Genomic DNA, 26,789 nt, shown 5'->3' on the forward strand with positions numbered 1-26,789 from the left:
CTAGCATTTCAATTCACTTTGGAGGAAGCTGGAAGTTCAGAAGTGTCATATATATCTACCACATTTCCATTGATTTTTGGCCAATTTATATTCCAAAAAGCCACTTATAGCTACTTAAAGTAGCCTTTCCTTTTAGTTTCAGAGAGATATAATAATACTCGAATACTCTGCAGACTGCTTGAACAGACTGGAGTTGTGAACAAATTCAGGTATCTCTTCTACTCCAAACCTCCCTAAGCTGTGAGGCTATGAAATAATATGTAAGTAGAAATGATTAAGGGAGGCACAGCCAGCCGCCTTCTAGCTTCACTCAGTGTTGAATGAAATGGCACATAGACTCTACACTAAGTAGGGGTGTTTACTAAAACACTGAAATAAGTCTAGGAAGGATGTGGAGTCTCTGCCTATGGAAACATTTTATAAGGTAAATATTACATATTATACCCAGGGTATGTGATGGATTATTGATTTCTGGCTATTTTGTTATTAAAAAGAATGCTTGCCAAAGTGCACAGAAATTAAATATAAATGCTGAATTGTCACTCCCCTATGAAAGTTAGGCAAATCTCTGGGCATGGTGGCTCACACCTGTAATCCCAGCACTTTGGGAGGCCAAGACGGGTGGATCCCCTGATGTCAGGAGTTCAAGACCAGCCTGGCCAACATGGCAAACCCCCGTCTCTGCTAAAAATACAAAAATTAGTGGGACGCGGTGGCAGGTGCCTGTAATCCCAGCTACTTGGGAGGCTGGGGCAGGAGAATCGCCTGAACCTGGGAGGTGGAGGTTGCAGTGAGCCAAGATCGCACCATTGCACTCCAGCCTGGGCGACAAAAGCGAAACTCCATCTCAAAAAAAAAAAAAAAGGCAAATCTCAAAGGTGGTCTTCCAAAGCTAGTAGACTGCCCACCTCATATTTTCAGTTGAGCTACAATCAGCCCCTGCTCTTCTGCATTTTAGTATTTACTGGTATCTATTAAGTTCAGGTGCTAAGAACCTCTTGCCTTACACCATTTTCTGGAAGGAGAGTAGATATGAGAAGGAGCAGCCTTTGGTGTCTGACTTCCAAGTTTACGACATGAATGCCTGGAACTCAAGAGATTCTTGTGGTAATATGAATACTGAATGAGCACATCAGCACATCAGTGTGGAGATAAACATGCAGCCTCTCCATGTCCAGGCAAAAAATATCTCCCCTTTTGTTTATCTTTCAATGTCAGAGATCATTTGGCTGCAACACAGCAACACCTTTATCTAAAGACTGATGGTTAATACTGAGTGTCAACTTGATTGGATTGAAGGATACAAAGTATTAATCCTGGGTGTGTCTATGTGTTGCCAAAAGAGGTTAACATTTGAGTCAGTGGGCTGGGGAAGGCAGATCCACCCTTAATCTGGTGGGGACAATCTAATCAGCTGCCAGCAAATATAAAGCAGGCAGAAAAACGTGAAAAGGCAAGACTGGCCTAATCTCCCTGCCTACATCTTTCGCCTGTGCTGGATGCTTCCTGCCCTTGAACATCTGACTCCAAGTTCTTCCATTTTGAAACTCAGACTGGCTCTCCTCCTCCTCAAGCTTGCAGACAGCCTATTGTGGGACCTTGTGATCATGTAAGTTAACACTTAATAAACTCCTTTATATATTTATCCTATTAGTTCTGTCTCTCTAGAGAATCCTGACTAATACAGACTCCAAAGCCTAAGTATTAGAAAAGGCTAGGAGACAACTCTAAGAGAGATAACACTTATTTCCAAGAATGGTTTTAAAACTCAAAAATTCCCAGTTGCTGGTGTGTCTCTGGCCCACACACTTCCAACATCTCCTTAGTGATAGTTATAGAAAGGGGGTCTGTAAAATTCAACGACATGACAGCCATTTAAGGAATAACTAAATTAGGAATAGGAAGCCCTAAACTATGAAAAGCATGTAGAGCTGTGCCAGTGGAAGAGGACCCCACCCCCAGCCAGCACCAGGACATCCGCCCAGAGGGACATGGCTGGGGGTGTCGGAGAACATAGTCATGCACAAGACTACTTAGGGAGCCCTTAAGGGTATAAGATATGAGCTTTTGAATATGAGTTTTGAGAGCAACAGGCAACCCCTCTTCCATTGTCTCCTGATCAAGTGGCTTCTGTGGTGCCCAAACAAAGCAAGCATGATATTTCAATTTCCTGTTACAAAGAAAGAGAACTCTTGTTCTTTGAATTACAGAGGCTGCACAGACCTCTGAGCTTTGTGGACAGTTGTGCTCATGATAACTTTGCTGGTGTGTGGTGCAGTCATGAGCAGAAATGAAGTCAGTGTCACACAGTGAAACAGAATCTTCTATAGGATAACATAATAAACATTACCGGGTAAAAAAAATCTTGGGCGAGTTTGTGGATTTTTTTTTGTTAAATGCCTCCATGTTTAAATGAAAATCAGCTTTCCTAAGAAAAGTTTGCTTTATCTGAATTTTTTAAAAAGTCACGCATTTTCTAATAAAGTACATAGCAAATGGGAGATTGAAGATGTCCATTATGATAATAATACTTTAAGAGAAAATTGATTAATGAGGAACAATAGAAATGAAATTCTAAATTTTTTTGTCTATCTTTGTGACATTTGGGAAACAATGTGTTTAGTGGTAAAGACATAGCTGCTAAGTAGGAATGAATCTGTTGACAAATCATGTACCTTCTCATTAGCTTCCATTTCATCATCTGTAAAATAGGGATCATAAGTACCATTTGTCATGTTGGTTATAAGAAAAAAGTAAGATGTGTATTATATAAATGGATAGTGACAAACACAAATGGAAAATGTGTATTACATACATGGATAAATATAGAAACCAACAAACAAAAAATGATGTCAATCTCCTGGCCTTTTCCATCTCCACCTACTGGACATTTTGGCATTAAATTAAGAAAATAAAAATAAAAGAAACTAGAGGTTGGAAATCAGTTTTACTCTTTAAATAGAGTTTTTGTGGCCTACTTGTATCAACGAGTATAGGAATAAGCTACTCATTTAGTGGTGAATGCATAAACATTAAGAGGAAAAAATGATGTGCAAACAATAACTGTTATAATTATAAAAACTTTATTTCATTCTTACTTTAATTAAATCTTTATAAGCACCATGTCATGAGCTGGCAATCTAGAAAGAGGACACTGGAATGCTTTAGTCAATTACAAACTGCAAGCTGATGATGTGAAGTTACAGCTACGTGGAGCATGTGAACAAGACCACATTTAGAAAGGTTCACTTAAGAATCCCATGACAATGCGCAAAACAGGAATCTGGCATTGATTTGTTCACACTTTTTATAGTCAGAACGCAAAGCTTGTGCATGTAAACATCAAGAGAAACATTTTATCACCCTGACAGTTTACAGTTTGCTCAAATTTGACCCTGAAAGCATATATGTTGCCATCTTGTTTTCTTGACCAGTGCTGGGCCACAGGCTGAAAAACTCCATTCCTTTAAAATTTAAATGATGCTTAAAGGCTATGTTCAACATTGTGCAAGTTGTCAGCAAGGCCTTTTAATGTGTACATTTCTCATGTATGATCACCAAACCATTATTTACCTAATGAAATTGTGAAAAACTATACATATTCAGCAAAATGTTTTAATTTGGTCCTATATTAAAAGACCCAATTGCCAAGGGATTTTACACAAATTTAATTCACAAGCATGTACACAAGAGAATCACTATAAAGAACATTGCTTCCTGGTTTATGAATAAAAAGTTTATCTTCTACTTACACTAAAACATACAAAAAATAATCTACAAAAATCGTTTACAATTGATTTTAGCTAAAGAAAAAGCTTTCTTCAGGAAAAAAAAGATGATTGTGTGGTGGTAGTATTTTAGCCATCAAAAAAGGAATGTAAGTAACCAATAAATATAATGTGCTTTCTCCATATAGACATATTTACACTTGAGTCTTTGGCTTATGTTATTTTCTAAAAAGAACTTTAAATGATCCAGCCATCATTGCACATTAAAAGAAAATAAGCCAGTTATATATATTTATATATTTATATAGAGATCTGCTACACTGGAAACATATAAAAAACGAACTTTACTATGAATTTGCACAGCTTTTCTTTTCTTCTTCCTTTTAAGATTCATCAGCTTTCATTTTAGAAAGGGAGAAAAATGCCACGTAGAAAGTATGAACTCATGCAACATGTGGTAGCTGCTCTACTGAAACCATGAGAAAAAAGGTGGCATGTTCACTGTACAAACACCAATACGTTCTCATTTCAATCTGGTTCTTATTAAATATAATTTATGTGGCATGAAATGTTGATGCTTTAATATAGTAATAAAAACTAATTCAGTCCTTTTTATTAAGATACACAACTTCATAAAAAAAATACTTTTACCTCTCAAATGTAAAAGTCTCCCACCCCCCACATTAAAATCTTTCTGCACAAGTGTAACAGGTACAACAGCTGCTGGCTCAATAGATGGACAGGTTTCTTCATGGATGCACTTTAAAGAGTCTCACCCAACTAAGATGATTCCAGGTACTCCAAAGCTACATCATAGCAGAAACGGTATTGCTCCTGAAAGATGTCAAAACACAAAGAGTGAGAAAACTTAAGAAAGAGACTAATGTTGAATAACAGTTACCAAATGAAACTTGACAACCAATTTAGATTACTCAAGGATTACAATTTATTTTTTCTATATATGAGATTAATATCTAGGCATACATATTTTATACTTGAGTCTAATGATCCATTTAAGAAAAAGGAAATTTATCTTAAAAAGACATTTTATCTTTGCCGCATATTTTCTATCAATTTTTTAAATATCTATAATTTTTTATCTGTTTATAATAGTAATATTTGATCATTACAGAACAATTCTGTACAAATATAAAGAATATACACATTCTGAACAAACATAAAGAATGAGAAAAAGAGCTATAATTCTATCATCAGAAGAAATTGTTAAAATATCACCTTAGTTTGCCTCAGTTCTTTTTGTGCATGGTTGAAATAATTATCTTAGAATAAATATAACTATGTATATTTCAAAATATAATTTTAAATGTAACTTTTAAAATTTAACATTGTTACAATTCTTTTTCCATGTTATTTAACATCTTTTAATACCACATAAAAATCAAATATATGTATTGTTTGACTATTAAGTTGCTTTTATTTTTTTCTCTATTTTATAATGCTACAGTGATAAACTGCAAATGTTTTTCTCCATATATTTCAGATGATTTCCTTGAGAAAAAAAAAGCCAGCCATTTTAAACAGCCATTTATGCAATTTCAAGTTCTTAATTTTTGACACTGTTTTTGTCCATCAGAGTATTTAAGCAAATTTTTCAAGAATGGTTAGTGATCCTTAAATTTTGAGCCTACTTATACCTGAAAATGTATTTCTGCTGCCTTTATATGTTTAAGACAACATATTGGCAATAAAATTTTTGAGTTAAAACTGCCTTTCCTCTAAGCCCATCTATGGACTTGCTCCATAATAAGAATTTAGAAAAATTCAGAGACCATATCATAAACTATTACTTATAATATGCAATTCATTTAAAAATTCCCAACTCAGTTCATTCAAGTGGGTAAAATTCAGGCTGGAGAACAGTCTAAAATGCATATTATTTTGGAATAGAAGTTCGAGGTGTCTCCAGCAATAAACTAGGGTAATAAAACTTTCCTTAAGAGGTCTTTATCATTCCAACACTATTCACCAAGTAGTTATGATTCAAATTCACCTACCACTGTGGCGAGTGCATTCAAGGAACCAAAATGTGCCTAGAAATAGTTATGTCTCTTTAAGCAGTCTCCAGCAATATTGCCTTCACTCTAAATCTCCTCACCAAACTCCTCAGCTCAACTCCACAGCTCACTAAACTAATCATCAACACTGATTAAACACAAATCAGAGGGTGGGGTGTTCAGGATTCACGGGACATGAATGTAAAGGAAAATAGTAACTTTTTGGAAGGTCCCAGAATGGCACAGTTTAACCATAGATTTTTTTTTTAATTAAAAAAGGTGGGAAATCAGTTAAATTTGAAGGTAAAAGTTGAATTCTGAAGTCAGAAATGATCCCACTGATGATTTTAAGACTTGACCTGAAAAATGGAGGCAGAGTTTACATCAAGAAATCTTCAAATCGCAAAGTTTAGAGACATAACCACTATTCATTTAGTTGCTAAGACGATCTGAGAGTTCTCCCTCAAAAATCCCTCCGATTCATCCCCCCTTTCTCATCTCCATAGCCAGCACCCCAATCAAAACCAATGTAATCTTGTGTAGACAGCTGCAACAACCCAGGGAAATGAGGTGGTGTAGGGAGTTTGAGGACACCTGTAGAAAGGGTGGAAGTCTGGTACCGCTTGTAAAAGTGAAACAGTACAAACCTAAGTCTTCAGATTTTGTCTCAGGAAGCAACGCAACTCTTGTGCGAGCAATCCATGAGCAGGAAGTGGTGAAATACTTTAAAGGTTTATTGAATTGCTCATTCTAGTTATCTGATCATCTTGATAAATGTAGGGCAAGCAACAATGATGCCTTGGTTTTTCTGGTTTACTTTTCTGTGAGCATACACTACACAGCTGCTCCCAACCTGATCCCACCATGCACATACATATGTGTAACCCACAGATATCTCTCGTTAGAAGTAAAATGTGTTAGATAAGTGTAACTTTCTTTCTTACTCTGCATACAGCTTCACCTAGATGAACTGTCACACACACACATACCTATCAGCTCTTATTTTGTAAGCTATGTTCTGACTTTACGAGCCTTGACAAGCTCAAGTAGCATGATATGAACTGCCCTCTACAGTTGGTAAAAGCTGAAAACTTAACCATGATAGTTTAACCATTTACAATTTGATCAGAAAATGAATGAATAATTATAGATAATGACAAAACTAAATTTCATTGCCTTTTAAAAATACTGGGTGTCTAAGGTACTGATGAAACCTATATCCCTTAGACATACAGCCTTGATATAGGATTTATTCTTCTTATAGGACCATTTACCAAAGTTTACTGCAGCAAATATTTTTTGGCTATAACAGAAAAAAAATCCTACAAATTTCCCAAATTAAATGAAAATAGTTTCATGATTAGCAGTTTATGCAATACGTGATTAAGTGTCTGTGGGTAGAGGGGGATGCTCAGCAATGTATTAATTAGGCAGGAAAGTCCCCACAACGTCTCATTTTCACATCTGATTCCCTATGTGTGTATGAAGTCAAATCAATAAGTAGGTATATGACTAACTAATCTCTAAGATGCCTTCCAAATCTAAGATTCTGTGACTCACCGGGGCTTCCACCATGTTTGGCTTGCTGTTCCTCAGTGTCTTTACTGCATGGAAAACATCGACAACATTTTGCCGTTTCACCATTTCAACAACGATGCCTATAGCACAGAACATGCCACTTCGCCCGCCACCATTTCTGAAAGCAAAGAAAGCAAAGGCATTTTAGATAGCAGCACCAAGTGACCACAGGTCACACCATCATATATGTTTGGGAAAATAAGACATTGTAGTTTTAATTGTTTTCCATTTGTGTCTTAATTTTGCTTTATATGTGTACAAGGCAGAGAGGAGAAAACTTGAGGATGAAATTAGATCAGTAGCTTATACTCAGGAAAATGCTATAGGCATAGATTGCTGCAATCTAGACTTTGAGATTCTGATATATTTGTAAACTGTGTAAATCAGAAGTTGTTACGAGTAGTGTTCCAAAGAGTTTAAATAATATAGCTATATAATAATCAATATTTAGAAAATATACAAAATAAACTTAGTAGTTAATTATAGACTCATGAGACAGGAAGACTGTTTAAAAATAACATCTATGGGAGGTCCATAAGATGCAAGCCAGATAGTCTTTAACATTGAAAATGAGAAAATAAGCACCAAGGCCCCATGAATGACAGGCTGAGCTGCCCTACTCACAGGCAGTGGATAATCGTCCGGCCTTCCCCTTCCTCGCATTCCTCCTGCCACTTTTCCACCTGAAGTATCAGTTTCAAGAATGACCTTTTGGATCCAGGCACTTCTCGATGAGAAGCCCATCCTAGGTACTGAAACTGTTGCACCATCAGATAACCTTCCTGTGGCTGTAGAGGGAAGTGTTTTTATGTAAATACGCTGGGACTACAATTTTTACTAAAAAGTAAAAGGTGCATATAATTTACAATACAAATGGCATCTACACTGGATTGAGTCTAGCTGATATAAATCCTCAATATGTACATGCTAGTAAAAAAACATTCTAAGTGACAACAGCAGGAAACATGGCAATCATCCTTTATACCTGTTTCTCCCTCGCACTATGTATCCAGTAATTCATTACTACGATTACATTTCCTAAATAACTTTCAGATTCATTGCCTTCTCTTTATCACCACTGACATCAATACACTACTAGTCACAGGTTCTGATAATTACCTCCTAGCTGATCTCCCTGAATAAACTTTGATCTCCTTCCAGTCCATTCTTACTATAGGCATCATGATTATTTTGAACTGCAGATACAATCTTGTCATTTCCTGCTTTAATGATTTTCAAATGATCTTAGCATAAAATCCAAATTGTTGTCATGGCTTAAAAAAACTTATGTGATCTGGCTCCACCCCCTTCTTCAACCTTCTCTTTGTCTTCTTTTAATCCATATATCAAGTCTCTTCTTGCCTTGGGGACTTTGCATATACTGTATGTACCCTTTGCCTTGAATACTTCTTCCTTGCTTGGTCTTCTCAATCCCAAATAGAATGACCAACTTGTCCCAGGTTGGCCTGGGACTTCTCTGGTCTTAGCACTGAAGGCTGTGTGTCTTGGGAAAGCTCCTGCCCTGGGCAAACCAGGATGGTGGGTTACATCAACCCCCAACTAATTTCTATTGATTCATTAAATTTTGGCTTAAATACTACTATCGCAAAGAGGTCATCTCTGATCACACAGTTATGTCAGATCACCCAGTTAAACACTCTATATTCTTTACTCTTTCACTGTAAAATGCATCACTTTTATACAAAAAGGATTATACAATTTTCATGTAATGCTTTTCTTCCTGAAAAAAATAAAGATTCCTTAAGTACACGGAAATCTTTTTTTCCTACACTCTGTATCAGTAGAACTTTGCATAATACTTCCCCAAAAGTAGTAGTGTTGAAAGAATGAATCAAAACCTTAAACCTTGAAATAAAAATATCAGGAAGAATATGTAATATATGAGTAAATCATATCAGATTGGCAAGAGCCCATGCATCTTTTGGTAGATTACAAGCCCTACTTAGTACTCTACAAACTTGTTGGTACATGTTAAATGTTTGATGCAGTTAAATATATTAAATATATTAAATGATGAGAGTGAGAACAGAAAAAAAATCATGTACTAATAAGGACCAGAATACCAAATACAGAGGCAGTTCAATAAGTAAGCAAACAAATAAATAAATATGCTGACAAAAATATAACATTTCAGTTCCTGTTCCTAGAATATTTTTCACATAAACTGCTCAATTAACAGACAAGCCTTACTGTCTTCAGCAGTTCTGTTTTTTTCCAACTCAAATATTACTAGAACCATAATGTAACAGATGTGCAGACATAATGAGATTCCATTTAAATTAACATCTAAGATATGCATGAATATTATGAGATGATTGAAGTTATCCTTTTTTTCTCCACTGAAATGAGCAATAGGAGTCGATATGATTCCATTCCCTGCTCATAGTTATATACATATAGACTTATTAACCAGACACACACGTAGTCATTTTGATATGAGAGACACTGAAACATGATAATCCTAATCACACACTTAAAATACATACCCACAGAGCTGGTGCTTTAAAAAACAGAGTAATGTTTCTCTCTAAAAAGAGCTTAATTTCATGAAAGTTACTAATGTTTTCTTTTCCAATTCTGCTTGTTATTTGGTTACATAATCTAAATTGTTTTTATTAATATCTTTTTTTGGGGGACGAAGTCTCGCTCTATACAGCCTGGGGTGCAGTGGCGTGATCTCAGCTCACTACAACTTCTGCCTCCCGGGTTCAAATGATTCTGCTGCCTCAGCCTCCCCACTAGCTGGGACTACAGGCATGCCACCACCATGTCCAGCTAATTTTTGTATTTTTAGTAGAGATGGGGTTTCACCACGTTGCCAGGCTGGTCTTGAACTCCTGACCTTATGATCTGCCCGCCTTGGCCTCCCAAAGTGCTGGAATTACAGGCATGAGGCACTGTGCCCGGGCTTTATTAGCACTTTTTTTTTTAAGATCTTCCCCACCCACATTGAATTTGTCATGTAGTGGAAAGCAAATGAGGAGTCAGAGAAAGACGATACAGTTACTACTTTGCTGCTGGGAAAAGGCATGGTGGTAGCAGCACTGGTTCTACCTTTAGATCTGCTTAGAGCCATAGGTTGAGACGTTTAGGAAGATGAAATTGCAGGTAGGATAATCAATAATGAACTTGGAACAGTGACATGGAACCCTTCTATAATGGTTGATCCAACATGTCTCTTTCCTCCTGCAGTACAGTTTCTCTGTCATTATTGTTATTGCAATGTTCTTATTTTTTTTATCACATGCCATTTCTGGGCTGGATGTCAATACTAATAAAACATGCAGTCATCCTTAAGATAAGTCTACATACACTCAGAGGCCAGGCCTAGGCTGTCCAACTTGACTGAGCCAGTGCATCTGTATTTCCTGAGAGAATATGCTAGTCTAGTGACTGACCGAAAAACCTAGCTTCCAGCATTTCTGTTTTCCTGTATTTTTATTCGAGTACTAAGGCATAAGATGGTTACTAGCTTTGAGGTGGATGATATAGTGCTTATTAATTGTAGTCTCCCTGTTGTCTGAATAAAATTATACCACATCTTGGTTATGACTGACCTATTCTAGATCAGCTCAAAGGATCCGATAGTGACTTACTCTTGTTAGATTGCATATCCTAAAAATCCGGTTGATCACATCACAGTCCATTGAACAAGACATACATTCCACTTGGATGGGGCCATATCGTAGCATCCCTTCCTCTGGCCAGTACTGAGGGCAGCCCTAAATGATGAACGTTTTGAAAGAAAAAAAAAAAGAGTATTATTTTTTCTAGTTAGGAGAGTATAAAGCAGATTTTAGCAATTCATTACTACTCTATTAAGTTGTATATAAGTACATAAAAGCAATCCATAGCCATTAACCTGGGACAAGTCGACTTCGTTTAACATCACAATGGAGGTACAGCCATAATCATACACTAATCTCCAGAAGTCTTTTACAGTGTTTGGCAGAGGGTATTGTGTGACGATGAAAGCAGCTGGTTGCCTGTAGCTCTGTGAAGAAACAAGGTAGATGGAGAAATATAAAAACTTAAAATGTATGATCGGTTGTACAAACAGATACAATACACTTCAATGTAGGACCAGTAAGATGCAATAGCTTCATATGCAGAAGGAGCCAGAGTGATGATTAAACCATGGAATAGGAGATTCAGACCACTGGAATGAACTGAATTAGTACAGTAATGAATCAATTTGGTGGAAGACTTCAATGCTTCCAAAGCAATTCAAGTCAATAACTGAGTTTTTACTTTACTGAAAGACGTAAATACAGGACAAATACAAAAGAAGAAACTAAAAAGCTTCTGAGGTTAACATCCTCTGTAAGGTTCCTGTTGGGCTATTTCAATTTTCCAAACGTAATCAGTCTCTGAGAGGCTGAAGGCAAAGTAAGCACAAAACCCCTGGTATGTCTATCAATCATCTGGGTATGTGTATAGTGTGTGTGCGTGCAAGTAAAATTGTTTTACTCTTCTCCACTCCAAATAAGAAAAACCACAAGTAGCTCAAACACTTGTGCTTTTACATTATGTGGACACTACCAGGATATTCTGCACATCTTGCAGACAATCCACCTTCCACAGCTTCCTGGGCATTTCTAACATATATCAAAGGTCATAATGACAGTCTCAACCATTTAAGATCCTGAAGCACCAAAGCATAACAGCAATATATTTCCTGTCCCCACATAAGCGGGGAGATAGCTCCTTGTTAACCAAGTCCTCCTTGATTAGAACACAATATATTATCTCTTTCCAAAGGGAGAAGTAGTAAAAACAATATTTATCTGGACTGGACAATTGCCATTTGATTTAAACTAATTATTTGCAATAATAATAATAATAATTAGTAGATTATAGAGTTCCCTAATGCTGACAAAAATTTTCAATGATCTTGTAACTCATTTGTATCATACTACTATTTAAGTCCTTCAAGAATCTTAACATCAGCACAGGAACTGGTTCTTGGACTTCACTGATGCTACCACCATTTGGGAAATGCTACCAACCATGGCATTCAGCGTTGGCTGAAGACTGCAGGATAAATCTGAGTAGATGACAATAATAATTTACCTGGCTACTTCTAAATGACCTCAAAACCTTACCAAGTTACACGTGCAGCTGGGATGAGTGTCTCCTAAGAAAGGCAGGAAGGTTCATGAGTCATATTGTTTGGCTCTGTGTCCCCACCCAAATCTCACCTAGAATTGTAATAATCCCCACATGTCAAGGGCAGGACCAGGTGGAGATAATTGAATCATGCAGGCAGTTTCCCCCATGCTGTTCTCCAGATAGTGAGTGAGTTCTCATGACATCTGGTGGTTTTATAAGGGGCTTCCCCCTTTGCTTGGCACTCCTTCCCCTTCCTGCCACCATGAGAAGAAGGACGGGTTTGCTTCCCCTTCGGCCATAATTGCAGGGATCCTGAGGCCTCCCCAGCCCTGTGGAACTGTGAGTCAATTAAAACTCTTTCCTTTATAAATTACCCAGTCTCAGGTATGTTTTTATTAGCAGTGTGAGAATGAACTAATACAATGAGAAAAGTTAGAAGAAAGGAAGCTCTTCTTCCAATCAAATGTCTGCTCCATGCAAAGGTAAGTCAAAGCAGACTGACGGCTATCTACTCATTTTTTGAGCCACAGGGGAGGGGATATGCATGAGGAGGAGCTGATAAGAGAGGAGAAGACTGAAGACTTCCTATTCTTTTTCCCTCTAAATGCAGGAACATATGTAAGGCTTTGAAATTACAGAATTCTTGGCCCTAGCTCCTAATCCCTCATAGACCTGGCAAAAGGGTACTAATGATGGGGATAAAGGGTAGGGAGAAAGAAGTGAACAATAAACCCTGTTCTTGTAAATCAAACCAGCTTTACTTCTCCAACGGTTCATTTGCACTACTAAATCCCCAGAACAGCTTTAACTATGAAATGTCTTTTTTTTGAATCACAGGGGATTAAGCAGACAGTAAGAGCAGGTGGATTACAAGCTTCAACTTTCATACAGAAAAAAAGACAAGCTTGGACAAGAAAGCAAGACCCCATCTTTACAAAAAATAATAAAAAAAAAATTAGCTGGGCATGATGGCATACACCTTAGTTCTAGCTACTTGGTAGGCTGAGGTGGGAGGACCACTTGAGCCCAGGAGATTGAGGCTGCAGTCATCTGTGATCATGCACGACACTCCAGCCTGTGCTACAGAGTGAGAGCTTGTCTCAAAAAGAAAAAGAAAAAAGAAAAGAAAAGGAGACAATCTGGACATTGAGAAAAATTTGACAAAGATGCCAATGGCAAAAAATTCAAAGGCATCAATGCTTTTCTAAATATTATTATTTTCTCCTTTTCTTGTTCACACATCCTTTTTTTATTCCATATTTAGATGCAGAAATGAAAAAGTATTGTATGCCATCTCTCTATTTAGTATATTTGCCTTTCCAGACACCTAATATAAAAAGAAAAGGTATAATTAGGATTTAATGTGATTTCAGTGGATGTGATTAATGGCCAGGCAAGACTCCGATCACAGCAAGGATGAGAGCTTTTCACAGGCAAGAGTGACCACAGCAAGGACGAGAGCCTGCCTTTAGACTATTCCGCTTTGCAGCACCAAAAAGAGTAAAGTAACTGGTGAAGACTACTCGTAGAAACAGAATGTGGGCTTAACAGGAACAATAACTTAGAAAGCCTGTTATAGTCAGAAAGAAATGAACCGTGGCTTCTAATTTCTCCTTGATATGGTTTCATAGGAGAAAGGGCAAAAGCTAGAAATGAAGGCAGTAAACTGTTTAAAAAGATTATAAACCATGATAGCTTTCTTGCTTCTTTCCAACATAATCAAAGTAAAGTGGCCAAAGTCATAATTTAAAACTTTCTTTCCTTGGGAGGCCAAGGTGGGCGGATCATGAGGTCAGGAGTTTGAGACCAGCCTGGCCAATGTGGTGAAATCTCATCTCTACTAAAAATACAAAAAAGGCCCGGCACGGTGGCTTACGCCTGTAATCCCAGTACTTTGGGGGGCCGAGGCAGGTGGATCACCTGAGGTCAGGAGTTCAATACCAATCTGACCAACATGGTGAAACCCCATCTCTACTAAATACAAAAAATTAGCCGTGCATGGTGGTGCATGCCTGTAGTCCCAGCTACTTGGGAGGCAAAGGCAGGAGAATCGCTTGAACCTGGGAAGCAGAGGTTGCAGTGAGCCGAGATTGTGCCATTGCACTCCAGCCTGGGCAACAAGAGCGAAACTCTGTCTCAAAAACAAAAACAACAACAAACAAACAAAATAAGCGGGGTGTGGTAGAGCACGCTCCTGTATTCCAAGTTACTCAAGAGTCTGAGGCAGGAGAATTGCTTGAACCTGGGAGGCGGAGGTTGCAGTGAGCTGAGATCATGCCACTGCACTCCAGCCTGGGCGACAGAGTGAGACTCTGTCTAAAAAAAAAAAAACCAAAAACTAAAACAGAAAACTTTCTTTCCATATTGTTCTGTCTATGGGCTATATAACACCCTGCAATTTAAGATTTTAGAATGGGGCAAGATTGTTCTTTCATTATGATGGATGTGTTAACATAATACCATCCATCCCCTCTCTAGTTACTTATAATAGTCCTTATTGATTAATGGCCAACAAATTAATTGTAAATTATTGAAACATTAAATGTCAGAAATAAAAATTTCCCAAATTAACATGATTTTTGTAGGATTTGGCATTCTGTGATTTAAAAAATTCATTTCTAATTATATTCAAAATAGATAAGGCATGATTTTCTTTTCTGAAAATAATTAAGATGAAATTTATAACTTGCAATATTTACTACATGAATATAATAATTGACAATCAAGCTCCAAATCTACAATAAAGCTATAAAAATGACAGTTCTTAAGAATCTCTATAGGGAAAACCTAAAATCATTTTCCAAAAAAATGTGTTTCAATAAAAGTTTCCACTTTTCCTTTTTAGGTTATTTTAATTTCCTCGAAAAGAAAACTAGCCAGTGTTCAGTTGCATTATGTAGCTTTCCACAACACTCTACACTAACAAAGAGGGCAGTCTCTTACGTCCATAAGAGCAGCATTGATGTAGTTACTGCTCTCCCCATCAATTGTAATTAAAAAAGGCAGACATCTGTCAGGTGGCAGCATGTCCATGAAACGGTTCTTGTCATGGTTCCTTGGCAGGCACGCTATACTGCAGTCTTCAGCTTGTAGTCGAGGGGTGACTGAATTCAGAGTCTAAAAAGAAAAGAGAACCCAGGTTAAAAGACAGTGTGACCCATTTAACAGTATAACACAGATCCATCAGGAATTTAGAAGGCCAAGTAGAAAGTGAAGGATTTGTGCGAGGCAATGGCATTTGCTACTATGACAGGCTGATAGACCTTGTAGTTAAAGCTAATGAAGCCTGAGAAGTGACAAAGAAACAAGACACACATTGTTCAGGGCTCCTCTTCTTAAAAGGAAAAGGTACGCTAAACAACACTGCTACCTGCAAAATGCATTGCCTTAACCAAAGAAAATGCAATCGGGCAGTCCATTATGATAATGACCCTTCATCACACTGGGAAACGGTATCATTTGTAGTAACATCTGGGCTTGCCATATTTGAAGATAAGCTATGGCATGTTGGAAAGAGCACTGGATCAACAATCAAAGAATTTGGTCTCTGCCCTTGATTTTATTTTCACCCACCTTCAGGGGTGTTTTAAGGGCAGTGAAAACATTTAGGGCTATTTTGAAATAACATGTACTACAAACTTCATTTATTATTATTATTACTATTATTATTTTTGAGACAGGGTCTTACTCTGTTGCCCAGGTTGGAGTGCAGTGGCAATATCTTGGCTCACCACAGCCTTCCAGGGTTAAGCAAACTTCCAGGGTCAAGCAATCCTCCCATCTCAACCTCCTGAGTAGCTGGGACTACAGGCATGCACCACCACACCCGGCTATTTTTTATATTTTTTGTAGAGATGAGGTTTTGCCATGTTGGCCAGGCTGGTCTTGAACTGCTGACCTCAAGATCTGCCTGCCTTGGCATCCCAAAGTGCTAGGATTATAGGTGTGAGCTGCCACTGAACCCAGACTCAGTTATAATTAATGTGCTTGATCTCATCACATTGTGAGTGACCCAGGTCAAAATCTGTATGACTGCATGAAAAAAAGGCTATAAATACACACTAAATACACACAAATCACCACTCATTTTGACTTGTTATTATTTCTTTTTTTTTTCTGAGACGGAGTCTCGCTCTGTTGCCCATGCTGGAGTGCAGTGGTGCAATCTCGGCTCACTGCAAGCTCCGCCTGCCAGGTTCACGCCATTCTCCTGCCTCAGCCTCCCGAGTAGCTGGGACTACAGGCACCCGCCACCATGCCTGGCTAATTTTTTTTGTCTTTTTAGTAGAGACGGGGTTTCACCGTGTTAGCCAGGATGGTCTCGATCTCCTGACCTCGTGATCCACCCGCCTCGGCCTCCCAAAGTGCTGGGATTGCAGGCATGAGCCACTGCGCCTGGCCTAATTTTTGACTTTTATGATACCTTTCCCCTTTGCTCTTCCCTAAGTCTGAACTTATTTGTCATTTTGGATATAGTAGATATAAATTCATCAATAGAAAAGTGACTATATAATATGTATAATGAAAGAGATACGTATTGTATTTAAAACAGGATCAAAGGTTATAAATTTGACTTGAAAGACCTTCCTTGAAAGGATTCCTAGCGCCCAGAACAAATTGTAGTAAGTCACAAAAGAGGTTTTAGAAATAGTTAATACCTGAAATTCATCCTTGAGATGTGAAGAGTTAGTCTGGGAGTCTATTCTAATCATATCAAAATATGCAGCTTTAAATTCACAGACAGGTATGGCAGTTTCTCCACATAAGCAGGCTTCTAAAATGGCATCATGAATAAAAATGTACTGTTCCTACCAAAAGAATGAAAAAGAAAATTTTGTACTAGTTTTAGTATCACTTTTCTGTCATCAAAGTTAGGAAATACAGAAAATTTTCTCTATATGGAAATATGAATTAAAACACCAATATTTTTCTATATGACTCAGCTAATATTGATTACACATGAAAAACATCTCTTTCGGTTGAGTAGAGTATATATGAGAGACATCTACTCTTTGTTTGCAAAAAAAATAAAAAATAAAAAAAAGTCCACTACAGGTAAATCTACATACCTCTGTCTGGACCATATTAATACGCCGAGATCTTAAGGCTTTGACACAATTGTAAATATCAACAACACCCTCTCTTTCAGCCATGTCTAGCATGATGTCAATCACAATGTAGCAGCCAGTTCGTCCAGCACCAGCACTGAAAAACAATTAAATTTAATGAATTGTAAGAAGCATGTTAGTCTTCATAACCTTAAATAAGGACTTTTTCCACTGTCAGATAGGTAGAATCAAATTGATTTAACAAACTGCAAGGCACAGCACTTGTCCCTGCTGTGTAAAAGCTTATTAATGTACAAATAGCTTCATGCAGAGTATCTGCTTTGGTATAAACTAAAGATTGGAACAAGAGTTCTAAATTATTTTCAAATTGAAAATAACACTGTTTAAGTTCCACACCTCTCTCACAATTTTCATTTTATGTAAATTTAATACACATAATTTCAAGTTCATAGAATTGATCAAGTGGCAGATTCACGCTTCAAAATTTAACTCAAGATTGAATATTTTTAGATTCATCTAGTTGTGTGTCCTCTGGCAACAATGTGAGAATGTTGGCTCACTCACTGTCTTCACCTCTTGTAAATACCAAGGCAAAAGAAAATTAATTCCCAAAACTTTAAACGGGAAATCTGAGGAGCCACGCTTCACAGGAAATGCAAATGGTGGGGGTGGGCAAGAGAATGACGGTTATCAAAGGGGAGGAGAGTAACAGTGTAAAGACTATTTGAATCATGATCTGAAGAGAAATGAAAATGAATTATTAGGTGTAGAATATGATTCCCAGCAAATCAAAAGGCTAGCCGCTATCTTACTGTATTTAATTCTAAAGTTAATTTTTAAAAATACTTTTAAAAAATTATATTTTAGTCTTTAATTGGCAAATAATAATGTATATATTCTTGGGTACATAGTGATATTTTAATACACATAATGTAGAGTGATCAGAAAAGGGTGATTGGCATATGCGTCCTCTCAAACATGTATCATTTATGTTGTGAACATTCAGTATCTTCCTTCTAGCTCTCTCAAACTAAACATTATCATTTACCAGACTCATCCTACAGTGGTACAGAACACTAAAATGTATTCCTCTATCTCACCATATTTTGTGTCCTTTAATTGTAATATACTGTGATTATTTTGCAGCTGGGGAATGTTTCTCCAATTTTATATATAGAAGTCAATGGGGAAAACAAAATAAGGATTTTTTGCGGGGAGTGGGGAATTCACTTTGTAGTCCAGAGATGCTTCAGTGTAGGTGGAAAATGACACTTCTGTTTCAAGAGAGTATCTGAGAATCTTGGAGCATTTCTGAAGCAAGCAATTCATAAGAAAGTAAACCTCTCTGATAAATCAAGAAATTCTTAAGTTGAAAACCTATTTATCTCATTTTCTAAGTGCTTAGATAGGCTAGTAACATTATTTCCTTGTTATTCAGATTTGGTCACTTCTCTTAAACTCACTGTTCTTTTAGAAATTTAAGCAAAAGATATTGTGGCTATCTCTATTTATCTTTGTCCCCTACCATCTTCTCAATCACTGTTCCCAGAGTTGGAGACAGGAATGTAATTTAAGAGTACATCAGATTTCATGAGGAGGATTGAAAGGAAGTTTTTTTTGTTTTCAGGGTACATAGTATCTGATCCTATGGGACGTTTTACCTTTACTTCATTCTCTGCTTTTTTTCCCCTCTTTTATACATGGTTATTTAAATCCTGAATAGGTTGGATTTTCAGAAAGCAAAAAATGCTTAGGTACAACCTATTATGTAGCTTGGAGGGAAGAGCGTATGAGAATGGTGTGCAGCATCATTTAGGAAACGCTTTTCAGATTCAGTACTTATTTTTCTGGTCACACCTCAAAATGAGGCCATGTAATTTGCTTTTAGTATCTCTAAATGCTTGTTTTAAGAGAAGTTTCTAATCAGAAGAAAGTCTGGATATAATGCTCGTGTTTTTTGGCATATATTTGCTGAATCTCACTGATGCAGTTTTCAAGGTCCTCTAATGTGAATTCTTTAAAAAAAATTTTTAAATAGCTGTTTTGCAGCACAAATCCTTGCAATTTAGGCCATTTAGTAACTCTGTATGTCTGAAATTTAGTTTTAAAGCTGGAATTCTATTGGGAATTTTCTAGATTGGCAAGAAATGTCTATTTCAACCTAGCATTCTATACAATATGGGATTTGCAAAAGTGATAAAAACAAAAAACACAGATGTTGCCATTAAAAGGCAGAGTTTCTATACTTTAAATTGTGGATAACACTACACGCATTAGGATGAATGTATGTATTTCTTAAGTTCCTGTTTTATAGACTACTTACAGCCAACTTTTATTTTATTGCTGTTTTACTTTATCTATAATACAAGCAAGCTGGAACTTCGTAAGCACACATTAGTTTTTGTGCTCAAAAGCCTTGTCTTGATACTCTAAAAAAAGCTGATTGCATACAGTCAATACCATTTGGACCACCACTTACCTGCAATGTACAACGATGGGGCCAGCACTGGGAGGGTTTGATAACTTGACTCGCCGGATAAAGGAAAGCAGCCCTGTAGCATGGTAGGGCACTCCATGGTCAGGCCAGCCCGTGAAATGGAACTGTTTAACTTCACGGATTTCATTGTACCCCCTCTGTGCAAAGATGGAAAGAAATGTTTTCAAAAGCCATTTTAATGGCCAAAATAAAGCCATTAAACACAATTATGGGTACAGACCCAACTGACAATGATAACAATAAAACCTTTACGAAAGACTATGCCTTTTCTTAAAAAAAAAATATAATAAAATGAAGGCCTAACATGGACTAGGAGCTTACCTTTATTGTCAGACAACTGCCAAAGAAAGAAAATTATAAGTCTTGCTCAGTTCTAAAAGTCTGGGTAAATTTTATTTACTTTGACAGCTTGTTTCTTGCTGGGAGTGACAACACATTAAATTATTAGGGGAAAAGAAGGAAATGGGAAAGCTAAAATGCTGCCCCATTGACCCAATGCATTGAGTTCTCAAGTGGTGTATAAAAGCAACTTTCCAGCTTCTCACCTCACAAAGAGATTTTAATGCCTTGCTTATCCATGTTGAAAATGGTTTTGAAGCATAGCATGTAGGGATTTTCCAGGACAGTGCTGCTCTAGATTGGCTTGTGAAAATATACAGGCAGCTAAACTGTTCTTTGGGCAAACTATTTTTCTTAGCTCTGTGAAATAATTCAGCGCAGTATTATTTATAGTAACAAAAATACAAAATGAAAGAAGTGAAGCATCTGCTGTTGTGCTGCTCTCCTATTGGGTTAATTTAAGAGAACCCTGTAAATGCACATTTCAAAGCTTTTTCCTTCCTTTTTTTAGAAGAAGTCTGTAGACTGAGGTAGCACAGCTTGGAAGGTATAGATGAAATATTGCCGAATTTATTTTTAAGAACTCACATTTGTAGCAAAAGGAAAAAAAATCCCACTATAATCTATATAATTCAAATTCTACTGTGAACTATCTGTGAACTATCAATCTCACTTGTTCAATCAGAAAAGGTAGACACATTACATGAAATAAACAAAACTGAGAAAAACAGTTTATCTTTAGATTCAATCTTATACAAACCAATACCACCAAAACCTTGGAAGTTAGTGATCATTTCTTAAAGGTTTTCTTAATTCCAATTCCTAGCACAATACCCTACACAAAGCAGGGATCATCAATAAATAACTGTAACAATCACAATGATAAGCATCACCATGGAATCACCCCAATGGAAAATCACCTTTTGCTACTTTTCAACTCTAGTGAGGAAGGTCAAAAATTGTTTCATGGCCTGATTTTAGGTAATACTTTACTCCTTCTATATTAATTCTTTTATTGGAGTTGCTTAATAGGCCTTGCTCCCTTTATCTTTCTATTACATGTATAGGGTTTGCTCTTTTTAGTACATTTTCATATGTCAGCACCTATTCCCTGATTTTTTTTTTAATTTTTCTGAATGATTTTCAAATATGTGGTTAAAAAAACAACCCCCCCCATTTTCTTGTTCTAAATAACAAGAAAAAAAAATCCAATGATTTTCCAAATAGGATTGTATTAAATCCATACAGTGATATTAATATCAAGTACTCCCATATTCTGGAACATGGTGCATGTCTCCACTCATTCACATATTATGCGTATCCGTAAGTACACTTTTGTGTTTTTATTAAATCAGGAACTATATCGTTCTTATTAAATATATTCTGAGATATTTTGGCACTTTGTATTTTTAAAGATTATTTAGTAATATTTTCTTACTTCTGTTTATCACTAATATAAAGACAAGCTATAACTCATGAATATTTATGCAGATTTGGTCATTTAAATAAATGTTTATACATCCCATTTAAAAATATTATCCATACTTTTCTTGGTATAAATCCTTTCATCTTAAAATAATTTGTCTTTTCTAGTAGTTACACAGTTTATTCCTCTTGCTGCCTTATTTCATTTGCTAAAACTTCCAAAAATGTTTAATATTAGTGACACTGATTATCCACATAACATTCATGATTGTAGAAGCAGTAATATAATCTTTATACTAGTTTTTTATGATAAATGAATAGTCGTTAGTTCTTCATTCCTTAACATGGCTGCTACTAGGTATTGTTGAATCACCTTTATCATGTTTAGGATGCCTCTTAATTTCCCTAATTAGAGTATTACTATAAATATTTTGAAAATAAAATTAAATGCATTAATCTATTAAAGTCATACAGTTTTGGTACTTTAATGTACTGACATAATGAAATATCCTGTTAAGATTTCCCACTACAGTTGAAATATTCTTGCATTCTTAGGGAAAAAATAATAGGTCATGTAGTGATATTTTCTTAATTCACTACTAGATCCAAATTTTCAATATCTTATTTTGAATTTTTTCATGTTCTTGAATGAAATTGGTCTGCAATATGTGTGTGCATGGGGAAGAGAGGAAGAGGGGGAAGAGAGGAAGAGAGAGAAGAAAGACATCATGAAAGAGGGAATGAGAGCTCCAGAGAATGCTATCTTTATCTGATTCTGTTATCATCATTATGCTAACCTTTTTTTTTTTTTTTTTTTTTGAGACAGTGTCTCCCTCTGTCGCCCAGGCTGGAGTGCAGTGGCGCCATCTTGGCTCACTGCAACCTCTGCTTTCCCAACTCGGATGATTCTCTTGCCTCAGCCTTCCAAGTACATTATGCTAACTTTTAAAACATAGATATTAGCTATTCCTTAAAGTATAAAGGAACTTTAACTTTAAAACCATAGTGCAATTTTAATGATAATAACAATCATCCTATTTTCTTCTACCATCTATTCATGCTTCTAAATCTTTGTGACCTAATTTTTGAGAATCAGCATTTGTCAGAAAATCCGTGTCCTAGACTAAAAGTTATATTTTTAAGTTTATACATAATATTTTCCATAGCTTTTCTAATAGCAAGTATAATGGCTATGTCCCTCTGTGTTTTCTAATATTGTATATTTTCATTGTACCTCATTTAGAATTAATAGTGGTTTAATTACTTTATTGATCTTTTCAATAAACAAGCTTTTTCTTTTTTCTCATTTGTTTCTTTTTTATATTTAATTTTTCCTTTGTTCTATTCTACTTTTTCTGATTTTCCAATGTTATAATTTTTCACATGATTTCAGAGCACATTTCAAAACAGAAATCACTTATGAGTATAAATTTTTCTTACAGAATAATGAGGTAAATTTTGATGTAAAACTATTGATCTATATAATATAATTTTAGTTTTGAGGAAATCATTCAAGGATTATTCAGAAGAGGATTTGGTGACTTCTAATAGGCTAATTTCTGGGGTCACTGGTCAGCAGTTTGTCATCATTGCTTTCTATTGGATTTTGGCAATATCTCAACTTTTTGTTATGTATTCAGGTTTTCCTTATTACTAAGTTCATCATTGATTTTTACAAGACTTGTATGAACTTAAGAGACTGCATATTCCACATTTCTTTTTTAATAATATGAGCTAGTTATTCATTAAATCAAGCTTAATGGTTCTTTCTGAAATCTCCCATATCAATTGCTTATTTTATTCTACTTGATTTGTCTAAGAAATTTTCATACATATTTTACAGTTACAATAATCATGATTATGTTGTTCTGTATAATGCTATTTCAACTTAATATTTTGCCTAATTTTTTCATGTTGGTAGGATAACTCACAAGTATTTTTATAAAATACTATGCAATTATTTCTCTATTGTTGGGCATTTATGGTTATCTATAAGTTTTTAATACTATAAATGAAGTCATTGTATTTTAAATAAATTCCTTAGGAGAGATTCATGAAAGTTAACTTCTCAAAGGACATAAACATTTTAAAGCTCTGGAGATATACTGTTTTATTGATTTAAAGAAGGTTTGTAGCGATTTAACTATGATCAGTAATGTATAAAAATATGTTTCAACATACTCTAACAATCAATGAGGATTATTCTTTTTTAAAGTTCTTGCTGATTTGGAAGGACAAAATGGTATATAAGTACACTAGGTTAAACATTTTTAATAGGCTTGTTAACAATTGTGTTTCTTCAGAGATTCTAGTTTTTTTTTTTTTCTTCTACTGGTATTAACATTATAAATTAAGGACATTAATAAACAATCGCAAGGTTCTTCTGTCTGTATGTACCTTTGATATTTTTTTGTGCCACAGGTAATTTCACAATTTTGTGTGGTCAAATCTACCAAGCTTTACCACAAAATGTATTTCACTGTTACTATATTTCACTTTAGTCTACTACACCAGCCACCTTACGTTATTCTTTGCAATGTAACACTTGGAGTGATCCTTTTAGAAATAAAATTCAGACCATGTTATCCCTGAGCTCACAAACCCTACAATGGCAGCCTAACTCAATTTTAGTATGAACTAAAATCATCATGGCCTACAAGGCACCACTTATCCAATTTTGTGATTTCTCTGCCTTCATTTTGTATTTCTTTCCCCTTCACTTATGGATATCTGCACATCTTGGCCTGGTGACTGTCTGGCATTCTAACAGCTTTACACATGCCTCTAGGCTTCTGAAATGACTCTCCCCTCTGTCAGAAACATTATTGCCCTGGACATAACCCGTCACTCCCTCACTTATTTCAGGTCTCTACTCATATTACTTTCTCAACAATGAGTTTTTCTTTGATCATCCTTTCAGAATTGTAAACCATTTCTTACCCTGCCTAAATAATATTCCCTACTTCCTTCCCCAACATTATTTTTCTCTATATCACTTGTCATGATGTATGATATATTAGTTGATTTATTTATTTTTATTGCTGTCTTAATTCAATCGGCTCTAAGATCCACACGAGGCGATTTTAACATGTGTCCCAAGGTTTAGAAACATGTCTGGCACATAGTAAACTCTCAAATAAACATTTGTGGAATGAATACATGAATGAATGGATTTTATAGCATCATCAAAACAGAACTTGGCAAAGATTTTAAGAGAAAAAGCAGTTTTGATATCACTTTTTAAAATAGAATTTTAGAGTACTTACCCTTTCCAGGGTGAATGTCCTAACTACATATTCAGCAAGTGGTTCCATTTCTACACACGTTACTTTGAAGTCACCATAAACTTCAGTATCATCAGGCCAATATTTATAGCATTTAACCTAAGTGACAAAAAGAATATATAGACAGACCTGAATATATAATACTAATTAGCCAAGGTGATTTAATTCCAGCAATAACTCCTTGTCACAATTAAAACTCAGTTTAAAAATCTATAAATGAGAAAAAAATCTATTATACAATAAACAGAGTTTATATAGTCTCACAAAAAATATACAAGCCTGATAATGCAGTTAGATTCCAGTACAAAATTAAAGCTTATTTTATTACTCAATGAGAAATCAAATAATTTTTCAGCCAGTCAAGGTCTACTTAGAAGTACTCAACTAAAATGTTGTGCCTATAATTTTTTTTAAACAATTGGATGATATTCTATTTTGAGTGTCTTACATGTTGCTTCTCAACTATGTTCATTTTTATGACAAAAAAATTCTTTTTCTTCCTCTTACCCGGCCAACCTCAACTAAATTTGTAACCATCACAATGCAAGCAGATTGTTCTTGCCAAATCATCCTCCAGAAATCATACACTGTTTCATGAACGGGACCTACAAAGAAATTAATTTGAATATTATGTTATCAAAGGAATTTTGTAGTTAGTAAGAAGTTTAGCTAAGATAAGAAGCAGAGTAAACTAAGTAATTCCAAAAAAGGTCTAACACAAAATGTCACTGAAAATACTTAAATTCAGTTCATATCTAAATTCCCACAATAGGCAAAAACACAGGCATATACAAGTTTTTTTTTTTTTTTTTTCAATTTGCCCTCTACACTTCCCAATTTAGAAGAAACTATCACTAGTTTCTTGGGTATTTATATTTGTCACTAAGTCACTTTAATGCATCTTCAAATATGTGTAAAAAATAGAACTCTTATACCACCATCAACCAGACAGCATATATTACCAATTAAATAAGTGCCCACTATTTATAAATAGTGCATGTTTAGGGATCAATAAAAACATATCCTTACACGTAAGGACATATCCTAATCTTATCATAATATCTCCAAACTGCAAAAGCATGTGCTGGGCTGTTCTCTACCGAATACCATAAAACTGAATATTGTTCACCACTATGGTCGATCTTTCTAACTTTAAAGAGTACACAACTGAACTCAATTACTCCAAAGATATGTGAAAACACAGAAAAATGACCCCTGTTAAAAGAGTAAACCTAGCTTTTGTTTTACTTTCCTTTTATATAAAAAAGATGTACAGGTTTCTCTTCTGAGGGCCAGTAGTCAATTTAGAGAGATAACTACAGATGCTTTTTTTGTTGTTGTTATTTGGATACTTTTACTCCCCAGTGTACCACTATAACAAGATCTCTCTACTGTCTTATTATATTCCATGAAGAATTAACTTGACTAAATTCCATCTCTTTGTTTTGTCTCAGTCTTGACTCGTCAAAAAATTGCTCAGTATAACAGCTCATTATAACAATATTGGTCTTGGGTACTACTAACAAACTTGCTGCAAGAAGACAGGCCTCTTATATGAGACTTCTTTTTCCTTTCCTCAAAAATGAGTAATTCCTCTGACTGGCACTATTGACTAGTGCTCTGACCTATCTGTGTAACAAGGATCAAATCATAATAACCACTACCAGCTTTTCTTTCACTTTTAATTAAAAGTAAATCAAGCTTAAATTTATATAAGCTTT

The 26,789-nt window shown here is 35.7% G+C and overlaps 1 protein-coding gene across 4 annotated transcripts in view; it reads right to left on the minus strand.

The window, feature by feature from the left end:
- Positions 1-3,066: 3,066 nt before the first annotated feature.
- The window catches only part of PTPRK (protein tyrosine phosphatase receptor type K), a 551,815-nt gene continuing 528,092 nt past the window's right edge, over positions 3,067-26,789 (minus strand). For all 4 annotated transcript variants that reach the window (NM_001291984.2, NM_002844.4, NM_001135648.3 and 1 more), the window contains 11 exons: positions 25,576-25,673; positions 25,051-25,167; positions 20,003-20,157; positions 17,524-17,659; positions 17,113-17,262; positions 15,398-15,571; positions 11,205-11,336; positions 10,939-11,064; positions 7,946-8,109; positions 7,304-7,439; positions 3,067-4,562 (listed from right to left, as the gene is read on the minus strand). In NM_001291984.2, coding sequence (NP_001278913.1) covers positions 4,509-4,562; positions 7,304-7,439; positions 7,946-8,109; positions 10,939-11,064; positions 11,205-11,336; positions 15,398-15,571; positions 17,113-17,262; positions 17,524-17,659; positions 20,003-20,157; positions 25,051-25,167; positions 25,576-25,673 — 1,442 coding nt within the window. In that variant the 3' untranslated portion in view covers positions 3,067-4,508. The remainder of the gene's footprint in view (positions 4,563-7,303; positions 7,440-7,945; positions 8,110-10,938; positions 11,065-11,204; positions 11,337-15,397; positions 15,572-17,112; positions 17,263-17,523; positions 17,660-20,002; positions 20,158-25,050; positions 25,168-25,575; positions 25,674-26,789) is intronic.

This window comes from Homo sapiens, chromosome 6, assembly GCF_000001405.40.
Source record: "Homo sapiens chromosome 6, GRCh38.p14 Primary Assembly".
Lineage (NCBI taxonomy): Eukaryota > Metazoa > Chordata > Mammalia > Primates > Hominidae > Homo > Homo sapiens.